The sequence below is a fragment of the Homo sapiens genome, chromosome 5 (genome assembly GCF_000001405.40).
Source record: "Homo sapiens chromosome 5, GRCh38.p14 Primary Assembly".
In the NCBI taxonomy this organism is placed as follows: Eukaryota; Metazoa; Chordata; class Mammalia; order Primates; family Hominidae; genus Homo; species Homo sapiens.
The window spans coordinates 65955757-65967772 of NC_000005.10; the positions used below are offsets into that span (position 1 = coordinate 65955757).

The following is a 12016-nucleotide window of genomic DNA, read 5'->3' on the forward strand; positions in this document are numbered from 1 at the left end:
CCTTACACAAGGCTTTGCCTTCTGCAATTTCAGTTACCCACAGTCAACTACAGTCCAAAAATATTAAATGGAAAATTCCAGAAATAATTTGTAAGTTTGAAATTGCATGCTGTTCTGAGTAGTGATGAAATCTTGTGCCATCATGCACCATCCAGGGCAAGATATGAATTATCCCTTTGTTTACCATATCTATATATGATACCCGCCCATTAGTCACTTAGTAGTAGCTGTCTCAGTTATTAGAGCAACAATACATGGTGTGTATAGAGTTCGACACTATCTGTGGTTTCAGGTATATTCTGAGGGATCTGGAAATGTATTCACCCCTAATAAGGGGAGACCACTGTATAGCAAGAAGAGTTCACATTTGTCCAATGTTATGTTAGAATGTGGCTGTTGTTAGATATTAGGAATGCTCTCTGTGGTAGAGTGTCTACTGCATTATTGAATCTGGTGGTAGTTGGGGATTAGAAACTGAAGGCCCTTCGGGGTGTGGGTGTGTGGTGGTAGTGGTGATGTTTTTTAAATGCCCATATAGCATGCATGCATGCATTCATTTACTTATCTTTTCACTGAACTGGGATGATTAATAATCATACAGCATTCTTTCAGGTGATTTTTTTTTTTTTTTTTTTGAGATGGAGTCTCGCTTCTGTCACCAAGCTGGAGTGCAGTGGCGGTGTGATCTCGGCTCACTGCAACCTTTGCCTCTCAGGCTCAAGCGATTCACCCACCTCAGCCTGGGACTGCAGACACTCGCCACCACACACGCCCAGCTAATTTTTTTACTTTTTTTTTTTTTTTGGTACAGATGGTGTTTTGCCATGTTGCCTAGCTGGTTTCGAACTCCTAGGCTCAAGCAGTCCACCTGCCTCAGACTCCCAAAGTGTTGGGATTACAGGTGTGAGCCACTGCTCCTGGCGGGAAAAAATTTCTTAAAAAGAAATTTCAACCTTCAAAACAAAAAGTATATAAACCTGAACACAAGTTGTGCATTTGGAAGAATCTGCTCTAGTCTGCCAATATTTTTTCACCCTGAAGCACAACGTAGCTGGAGTTGGATTTCTGGTGAACACTTTAATAATTCCACTTGAAGATGACATTGTTGTATCACCAGTGATCTCCACAATACACCCAAAACGGGGATTTTGAAAAGTGTTGGGATTACAGGTGTGAGCCACCACACCTGGCTTTCTTTAAGGTAGTATAACCATGCTGCTATTTGTGTATGGTAATAATATTACAAGCAGCTTAGAATGTAGTTGTTTGGATGAGTCAGAATATATTTAACCAGTCACTACTAAGGTATATTTATTTAGCACCCTCTCCCATTATTTTTTGCTATTATAATTTAACCCTTTTTGTGAAACTGTGGTACATATGTCTAGGTGTATTTTTTAGTACAGATCGTCCCCAATTTAGGATGGTTCAATGTAGGATTTTTTTTTTAAATTTTTATTTTATTTTATTTTATTTTTTTTATTGATCATTCTTGGGTGTTTCTCGCAGAGGGGGATTTGGCAGGGTCACAGGACAACAGTGGAGGGAAGGTCAGCAGACAAACAAGTGAACAAAGGTCTCTGGTTTTCCTAGGCAGAGGACCCTGGGGCCTTCCGCAGTGTTTGTATCCCTGGGTACTTGAGATTAGGGAGTGGTGATGACTCTTAACGAGCATGCTGCCTTCAAGCATCTGTTTAACAAAGCACATCTTGCACCGCCCTTAATCCATTTAACCCTGAGTAGACACAGCACGTTTCAGAGAGCACCGGGTTGGGGGTAAGGTCATAGATCAACAGCATCCCAAGGCAGAAGAATTTTTCTTAGTACAGAACAAAATGGAGTCTCCCATGTCTACTTCTTTCCACACAGACACAGCAACAATCTGATTTCTCTATCCTTTCCCCACATTTCCCCCTTTTCTATTCGACAAAACCGCCATCGTCATCATGGCCCGTTCTCAATGAGCTGTTGGGTACACCTCTAAGATGGGGTGGAGGCCGGGCAGAGGGGCTCCTCACTTCCCAGAAGGGGCGGCAGGGCAGAGGCGCACCCCACCTCCCGGACGGGGCGGCTGCCGGGCGGAGGGGCTCCTCACTTCTCAGACGGGGCGGCTGCCGGGCGGAGGCACTCCTCACTTCTCAGCCGGGGCGGCTGCCGGGCGGAGGGGCTCCTCACTTCTCAGATGGGGCGGCTGCTGGGCGGAGGGGCTCCTCACCTCCCAGACGGGGTCGCGGCCGGGCAGAGGCGCTCCTCACATCCCAGACGGGGTGGCGGGGCAGAGGCGCTCCCCACATCTCAGACGATGGGCGGCAGGGCAGAGACGCTCCTTACTTCCTAGATGGGATGGCGGCCGGGAAGAGGCGCTCCTCACTTCCCAGACTGGGCAGCCGGGCAGAGGGGCTCCTCACATCCCAGACGATGGGCGGCCAGGCAGAGACGCTCCTCACTTCCCAGATGGGGTGGCGGCCGGGCAGAGGCTGCAATCTCGGCACTTTGGGAGGCCAAGGCAGGCGGCTGGGAGGTGGAGGTTGTCGCAAGCCGAGATCACGCCACTGCACTCCAGCCTGGGCAACATTGAGCACTGAGTGAACGAGGACTCCATCTGCAATCCCGGCACCTCGGGAGGCGGAGGCTGGCAGATCACTCGCGGTTAGGAGCTGGAGACCAGCCCGGCCAACACAGCGAAACCCCGTCTCCACCAAAAAAATACGAAAACCAGTCAGGCGGGGCGGTGCGCGCCTGCAATCGCAGGCACTGGGCAGGCTGAGGCAGGAGAATCAGGCAGGGAGGTTGCAGTGAGCAGAAATGGCAGCAGTACAGTCCAGCTTCGGCTGGGCATCAGAGGGAGACCGTGGAAGGAGAGGGAGACCGTGGGGAGAGGGGGAGAGAGAGGGAGACCGTGAGGGAGGGGGAGGGGGAGGGAAATGTAGGATTTTTTTACTTTATGATGGTGTGAAGCAATACATGTTCAATAGAAATCCTACTTTGAGTACCAATACAACCATTCAGTTTTTCACTTTCAATACAGTGTTTGGTAGAGTACATGATGTGTTCAACACTTTCTTATAAAATAGGCTTTGTGTTGGGTGATTCTGCCCAACTGCAGGGTAATGTAAGTGTTCTGAGCATGCTTAAAGTAGGCTAGAGTAAGCTATGATGTTTGATAGGTTACGTGTATTAAATGCATTTTTTACTTAAACCTATCATAAGTGGAAAATATTTCATCGGCATGTAACCCCCATTATAAGACAAGGAGCATCTGTACTTTTTCTAAGGGTAAATTTTTAAAAGTAGACATTGCGTATACACATTAACTTTATTTATACGTGTTGTCAAATTGTCATCAAGGACATTTATACTATTATATGCTTCCACTAAGAATGCGATAATAGATGTGTCTATATAATGCTAGCTAACACGTGGTGTTACCAGTTTTTTTTTTAATTGCCAATCTGGTGGAAATAATGGTAATTTGATCACTTAAAAATTCATCTAATGAGGTGAGCATCTTAAATATTCTGGCCGGTTTTATTTCATTTCAGGAGTCATGTGTTTATTGCCCTTTTTTCATTTTTCTATGGAGGCCATCTTATTGATTTGGAAGAAGTATTAATATTTAGATTCTTTAATTTTATAACTTTTAAAAACACAGTTGATAGTGTCCTTTGTCATATGTTTTATGTAGTTTAATATATTTTATGATTTCTAGCTTTGGTCATCTTACACAAAGTGAAGTCAAGACTCATACAATTTAATGTAAGAGCAGGAGATTTTCGTTTGGGGTTGGTCCATGGACTTGTAAGTATTCTGAGGATGGACTTCATAGTTCTCAAATACAAATTGAATACAACATTGGAATTACACATAAATTTTTATTTTTCTGATGACAGGTTCAGTCAAATTCATCTGGTTCTCAAATCGTATGACACTTATGACTGTGTGCCCCCTTTTATATAGCATATATATTTAAATGCCCCTTTTTTTCTGTTTCAAGTGAAATTCATAGGTAGTATAATCTTCCAACCCATACAAATAATTTAAAAGAAGAAAAAGCAACATGATTTTTTCTTGACTGGAACAAAGAACACGTGACAGACAAAAATGTTAGAATACTTTGCCATGACCTCATTAGAAAATATTGTTAAGGCTTTGCGTTGGAGTTAACTGGAACCTTCAAAAAGTGTTGATACCTGTTTCTTTTAAAATTAAACATACAGCTACATCAGTTCCACTCCTAGGTATTTGCCCAAGAGAGGTGAAAACATGTCCCCAAAATGTATAGGGAGATTTATAACAGCTTTAATAGTCCACAAATTAAAACAGCTCTGCTGTCAGTCAGCAGAAAGAACAGATAAACAAATTGCAGTATATTCATATGCTGGAATACTGCTCCGCAGTCAAAAAGAATGAACTACTTTTTTCATGATGAAATGTATATGAATGAATCTCTGAAACATTGTGTTTAGTGAAAGAAGTCTGATACAGAAGAGTACACACTATATGATGGATTATGTTTATATGAAGTGCAGAAATGAGGCTATAGCATTAGAAATATGAGGAGTGATTGCTTGGTAGGGGCATTGACTGGATGTGGGGCAGGAGGGTACTTTCTGAGTAGTGGAAATGTCCTGTATCTTGATTGGGGTGTTTATTACTCCAAGAGAGTTGTACACCTAAGACCTCTGCATTTCGCTATACGTAAACTTTACCTCAAAAACAAACAATGAAACAGAGCGAAAATACTGATGCCTATGTCCTACCTTCTAGAGATTCTAATTTAATTGGTTAAGGGTGTTGGCCTGGGCATAGATGATTCTCATGTGCCGCCAGAGTTAAGAATCACTGATTAGATGCTTTTGCCCTTGGATGTAGGCTCTTCATGAATGCAACTGCTACTCATGCAGATTGACAACCAAATTATAATTAAGAGAGGCATTGCTATCCTTGACAAGATTTTTTGAAGTGGAGAGACAACACTTGGGGAAATTTCAAGCAAGTTTAATCTTCCCTTAATTTACAATCTGTTAAACTAGTGTGTAAAAAAACTCCATCCCTTTGTCTTTATATGTTTACAGTTAGGTTCTAGGCTTAGATAATTATAATTTTTTTTTCAGCTTCATGGCTGGAGGACATTTGAAAGTTGGTACAGGATATTAACCATCACTGGCCTTTGGCAAGTCTATTCATTTTGACAACGAAAATGTTATCATGTATTTTCAAAATGACTCTTTTGACAACCACTGACTGTCTTAATTCCCTAAACCTCCCTATCCATATGTGTTTAATTTCCATTAAAAGGGAAAAATTTTAAACATTTGATTAAAAACCTTCTTAAAACATTCCAATTTTAGGTCCACAATTCCTTCTGTGTAATTCTGAAATTCAGAAATTCCTGAAAATTGAACTTTTCTCTTTTTTTGCTGTCTTCACTTTGCTCCCAGTTAAAAGGGCTACCTGAAGAGGGCAAGTGGCCTTAATTATGCACAAGCAAGTGTTCTGGCACTATAGTCTCACCCCTGGGCATGAACTTTTTTCCCTAATTCATTTGGTTGATAAAATGTGACTTACGCTGAACTGTGATGTGAGGCTGATACTGGTGTTTATTTATATCGTTTTCCCATCAGAGTTAATATTTGTAAATTATACTTCCCTGCAGCAGTATTTTCCAAAATGAAAAATTCTCAATTCTGAAACACATCTACTGGCCTGAAGAGTTTGGATAAGAGATTGTAGATCTGTATTGCCAATGTATATGTATTAATTGTAATTATTAAGAGCAGGAGTTTTTAATTTGTGGTTGATCCATGGACTTGTAAGTTAACATTAGCTAGCAGTTAAAGTTAGTGAAAATGCTGTTTTTGAGGGGGTTGGGAGTCTAATAAAGAGCATCTAGACTTATTTCCATTAGGAAATTCCAGCTTTATTTTGTAATACTAAGTATGACTATTGATGACTTTTTTTTGTCAGTTCTCTTATTCTGTAGTCTACTTCTTTTACATTTGAGGTAGAGAATGTGTGGTGATGAATTTTAGGTATCTTTGGTGGGGAGGGTGCTTTTTGGTTTTGAGAGCAAGTGGTCAATTTGACTCACATGATTCCTGTGCTGGTATCATGGGAGCATACAGATGAGTCACTAATGAGGTGCCTTACATAGTACTGTATCTTTTTGGTGCTGCAGAAAGCTAGTTGTCTGACATTTTTTACCAGAGAGTTGTTGTAAAACCAAGTAAGGTTTCTTATAAGTTGTATATATTTTAAGTTAATATCTGAAAGAAATGCCTGCTAGAGTAATTACTAGAGTGCTTGACTATGTCGCATTTTTTAAAGCTATGTGGATGGAAGAGCAATTGTTATTTGTAAATGTATAATGTATATTAAAGATGATATCTGAATAAAGAGAATCAAGAGTGAGTGCTTTTACATTTGAATGCAAAAGTTCTATAGGTCAGTGATTTCCTTCCTGACTTGTGTCCCAAAATGTATATAAAATGTGTTTGATTACAACATTTCTTCTTTTCTTCATAAATTGCCATTATGAAAATTTTATTGGGAAATTGGAGAAATTGGCTATTAAGCTACTAGAAAAATGTCAGAATCCATCCATAAGGCTTCATAGTTTAAAATACAGGTTTACAAATGTGTATGTGTGTGTAATTTGGGTGTGGAATAACTAAAACCAAATGTTAGGACTTATGCAACGTGAGAGAAGAAACTGAATTTGTATACTATGGTTCTGCCTAAATCTCCGTAGCTTTTTACTATAACATAGTGTGTTAAATAATGGTATATTTATATTTAGACATTTCATAAATGAAGGTGTTTCATATTCCTGCTTTTATATTTAATACTGGGGAATTAAGTATCTTAAATTATTTTCCCCCTCTTTTAGTAATTTTCATCAGGGCCCACAATTTTCTTCAAACATAAGGCTCATCCTGAGGTTAGAAAGATAAACAAGTAATACTTGAACTGGCAAAATTATTTTTCCATTACTAATACTCTCTGTGTAACTATGCACTTCTAATTAAAGCCTCTTTAAATCTGATATTGTTCATCAATGAACAGTTTGGTTTAGTAATACTAATTAAGGATGGTTCTAAAATTTAAAACTTTGAAAATTAGGATTGTTTCATTTAGTCTAATGCTTTTGATTTGTAATTCTTACAGTGGTTGTTCATAGGATATTAACTTTTCCAGTTACCAGATAAAGGTTTTTTGTTTTCCAGATGATCTGTCTTGAGATTAATTTTTTAAAACAACAAAATATACATTTGTCTCATTTGAGTATCAGGTCATAATTCCATTATTCACAGAAGTTTCATCATGTGATTGATTACTTTTTAAAAGGTAAATTTTTGATAGAATTAATTAAAATAACTACTTTAGAATAGCTTTTTATTGCATAACAATAATTCTCATAGATCCATCCAAATAAAGGTGAATAAATTACTTTTTTATTCTTTTGTTCTTTTCTAAAGTAGTTTCCTATATGCATTGGTTGTTATTATTTGGAAACTATTAACTGAGTAATATTAAATTGGCAACTTTGAGGTAGGATACAACCAAACAAATGGAATTCTCAAGTTATCACTCTGTCAACTATATCTAGAGTTTACTTTTGATCTTTAAAAACTTTACATGACAGCCTGGCCAACACCGTGAAACCCCGTCTCTACTAAAAATACAAAACAATTAGCTGGGCATGGTGGCAGGTGCCTGTAATCCCAGCTACTCCGGAGGCTGAGGCAGGAGAATCGCTTGAACCCGGGAGGTGGAGGTTGCAGTGAGCTGAGATCGTGCCATTGCACTCCAGCCTGGGCAACAAGAGCGAAACTCCATCTCAAAAACAAAACAAAAACCAACAAAAAAAACTACTTTACATGAAATTCTTAGGGAAAATAAATGAGAATGTATTGTTCCTTTACAAATGAAGATACCGCTGCTGAGTTGTATTTGGTAGTGAAATTTTAATATAGACAAATTTTATTTTTTTATAAGTGATTTGCGTTTTTGGTATGACTATTTTCTTTCTTTTCTTTTTTTTTTTTTTTGAGATGGAGTCTCGCTCTGTCGCCCAGGCTGGAGTGCAGTGGTGCGATTTCAACTCACTGCAAGCTCCGCCTCCTGGAGTATTAAATATAAAAGCCATTCTCCTGCCTCAGCTTCCCGAGTAGCTGGGACTACAGGCGCCTGCCACCATGCTTGGCTAATTTTTTGTATTTTTAGTAGAGACGGGGTTTCACCATGTTAGCCAGGATGGTCTTGGTCTCCTGACATTGTGATCTGCCTGCATCGGCCTCCCAAAGTGTTGGGATTACAGGCGTGAGCCACTGCGCCTGGCCGGTGTGACTATTTTCTTTCAAGTTGAAAGTCGGGTTCCATGAAACTCTAGTATTAGATGGATTTAGGTGAAGGTTAATACCTCTGATTGTTTGAGGCCTGAAATATAACTAATTAAGCAGTAGTGAATCTCTTACTACATTTGCTTCAAAGCAGCTACTTCATAATTGAACGTGTGTGTCATTAATTCTAGAAATCTGTTACACATTGATTTGGTGTTGTATCAGAGGAGGATACAGAAGAGGAATGGCACTGACTAGTGGTTTTAAGGCACAATATTGGAATCACCTGGAGAGCTCATAACATGTACATACCTTGACTGTGTCCCAGGCCTTTTGGGGCAGAATCCTGCTGGTTGGAGAACAGGCAGTGTAGTTTGGTAAAATCTTCAGATAATTCTGATATACTCATTTGTATAAGATTACTGAAATTCTATCCTCAAGGAATATATACTTTGTCAGAGGAAGGAAAACTATGTACTTGCAACAAACATGGGCTGTGTATAATGACAGCAATAATAATAATGATAGCCAACATTTGTATGACACATATCCTGTGCAGAAGCATTGATTTTCAGGTACTGCAGACATTTGCACTAATCTTGCCTCTCTATAGCTCTTTCTCAATACAGCAGCCAGAGCAATCTTTTTTTTTTTTTTTTTTTGAGATGGAGTCTCGCTCTGTCACCCAGACTAGAGTGCAGTGGTACAATCTCCGCTCACTACAACCTCTGCCTTCCAGGTTCAAGCGATTCTGCCTCAGCCTCCCAAGTAGCTGGGACTACAGGCGTGGGCCACCACGCCTGGCTGATTTGTGTGTGTGTGTGTGTGTGTGTGTGTGTGTGTGTGTAATTTTTTTTTTTTTTTTTTTTTTAAGTAGAGATGGGGTTTCACTATGTTGGCCAGGCTGGTTTGGAACTCCTGACCTCAAGTGATCCTCCCCCCTCAGCCTCCCAAAGTACCGGGATTACAGGCATGAGCCCCTGTGCCTGGCCAGAACAATCTTTTAAAAACTTAAATTAGATATTACTCTTCTTGTTTAAAACTTTCTAATGAATTCTCATTGTGATTAGAATAAAATGTAAACTGCTTATTATGATTTATAAGGTGGGTACTTGGTCTGTTTGGGTTCTGTGATGTCATCTTACATAATTGTTTCTGTGTTCATTATGTGGTGGTCACACTGGTGTTTGTTCCCACATCCAGGCATTTATACCTTCTCTTTTGGCTGGATTGCTTTTCTCCAGATCTATGACAGGCTGTTCTTACCAGATTTGTTTTTTGTTGTTTTTTTTTTTTTTTTTTTTTTTTTTTTTTTTTTTTTTTTTGAGACGGAGTCTCACTCTGTTGCCCGAGCTGGAGTACAGTGGGCGATCTTGGCTCACTGCACCCTTCGCCTCCTGGGTTCAAGCGATTCTCCTGTCTCAGCCTCTCAGGTAGCTGGGACTACAGGCATGTGCTACCATTTTTGTATTTTTAGTAGAGGTGGGTTTCACCATGTTGGTCAGGCTAATCTTGAACTTCTGAGTTCAAGTGGTTTGCCCACCTCGGCCTCCCGAAGTGCTGGGATTACAGGTGTGAACCACTGCACCTGGCCCCATTCTTATCAGATTTAACCTTCAGTGAGATTTCTCTCGTTCACTCTGTCTGAAGTTGCTCTTCCTCTGATTCCTCTCCCCTTAATGTGTTTTTAGTTCATGGCACATAACACAATCTGAATTTTCCTTATCATTTACTATTGTTTTTTCCTTCTTGGAATGTAAGCTCATTAAGCCCAGACATCTTGTATATATTTAGTCATGCCTGTATCCTCTTGATAAATCCATGGGATCAAATAGTGTCCCTTGAAGCATCATCACATGCAAATAAAATGACGGTGCAGTTAACCTCTACTATAACAAGGTATGTTAGGCTTTTTCTGTATATGTTCTCATGTGAAATGTTAGAGTTGAACATTTTCTGTAAAATTGTTTAATATACAGTCATGTGCCACATAATGACATTTTGGTCAATGATAGACTGTATAAACAATGTTGGTTTCATAACATTATAATGAAGCTGAAAAATATCTATTCCCTAGTGATATAGCTGTCATAATTTTAAAGTGTATTACATGACTCATGGGGTTGTGTTGATGTTTGTGTAAACAAACTTTCTGCACTGCCAGTTGTATAAAAGTATAAGTACAGTTATGTACAGTACACAGTACTTGACAATGACAGTAAACAACTGTTACTGGTTTATGTATTTAGTATATGATAACTTTTATTATCTTTGAGTGTGCTCCTCCATATAAAAAGGTAGGCCGGGCATGGTAGCTCACGCCTGTAATCCCAGCACTTTGGGAGGCCAAGGTGGGCGGATCACCTGTGGTCGGAAGATTGAGATCAGCCTGACCAACATGGAGAAACCCTGTCTCTACTAAAAATACTAAATTAACCGGGCATGGTGGCGCATGCCTGTAATCCCAGCTATTGGGAAGGCTGAGGCAGGAGAATCGCTTGAACCCAGGAGGCAGAGGCTGCGGTGAGCCAAGATCGCACCCTTGCACTCCAGCCTGGGCAACAAGAGTGAAACTCTGTCTCAAAAAAAAAAAAAAAAAAAAAAAAAAAAAGGTAACTGTAAATCATTCCATGACAGGACCTTCAGGAAGTATTCCAGAAGAAGGCATTGTTATCATAGGAGATGACAGTTCCGGTTGTGTTGTTGCCCCTGAAGACCTTCCAGTCAGACAAGATATGGAGGTGGAAGACGGATAGTAATGATCCTGACCCTGTATAGGCCTAGGCTAATGTGTGTGTTTGTGTTTTCATTTTTAACCAAAAAGTTTAAAAAGTTAAAAAAAAATTTCTTTTAAATAGGAAGAAAAAAGCATATAAAATAAGGATATAGGAGCTGGGCCTGGTAGTGTATGCCTGGTAGTCCCAACTACTTAGGAGGCTGAGGTGGGAGGATCCCTTGAGCCCAGGAGTTTGAGTCCAGCCTGGGTAACATAGAGAGATCCCATCTCTAAGAAAAAGAAAAAATATTCTGGTTAGCTGTACAGTGTGTTTGTGTTTTACACCATGTTATTACAAAAGTTAAGATTTTTTTAAAAAGAAAAAGTTTATAACGTTATAATAAGCTAAGGTTTATTATTAAAGAAAAAAAATTTTAAATAAATTTACATAGCCTAAGTGTTTATAAAGTCTGCAGTAGTGTACAGTAGTGTCCTAGACCTTCACATTCACTCACTACTCACTCACTGACCCACAGCAATTTCCAGCCCTGCAAGCTCTATTTATAATAGGTGTACTAGTTTTTTTTTTATCTTTCATACCATATTTTTGCTGCACTGTTTCTATGTTTAGATATGTTTAAATACACAAATACTTATCATTGTGTCACAGATGCCTGCTGTATTCAGTACATCAGCATGCGGTACGTGTTCTTAGTCTAGTGGCAGTAGGCTACACCATATAGCCTAGAGGTGTAGTAGGTTATACCATCTAGGTTTCTGTAAGTAGACTCTGTGATGTTTGTACAATGATGAAATTGCCAAACAGTGCATTTCTTAGAACACATCCTGTCAAGCAATGCACGATTGTTTCTTCCAACAAAGATGCCTTTGGTTAATCAGACCTTATACCAATTATTTATTGTGAAATAAACCATCTGAAACTTAGTGATATTATAAA

General features: G+C 39.4%; 1 protein-coding gene and 1 non-coding gene across 19 annotated transcripts in view, besides 1 other annotated feature; one reads left to right on the plus strand and one right to left on the minus strand.

The window, feature by feature from the left end:
- The window catches only part of ERBIN (erbb2 interacting protein), a 155972-nt gene that overhangs the window by 29182 nt on the left and 114774 nt on the right, over positions 1–12016 (plus strand). The gene's annotated exons all lie outside the window — the stretch shown is intronic.
- LOC124900212 (small nucleolar RNA SNORA76) lies at positions 5427–5563 on the minus strand. The gene has a single exon (XR_007059159.1). It is a non-coding gene; the product is annotated as a small nucleolar RNA SNORA76 (small nucleolar RNA).
- Positions 6010–6119: an enhancer, noted in NCBI's record as "active region_22613". NCBI's record gives its function as "activates an Ori minimal core promoter by ATAC-STARR-seq in GM12878 lymphoblastoid cells {active_cell/tissue: GM12878}" and the evidence as "EXISTENCE:reporter gene assay evidence [ECO:0000049][PMID:35858748]".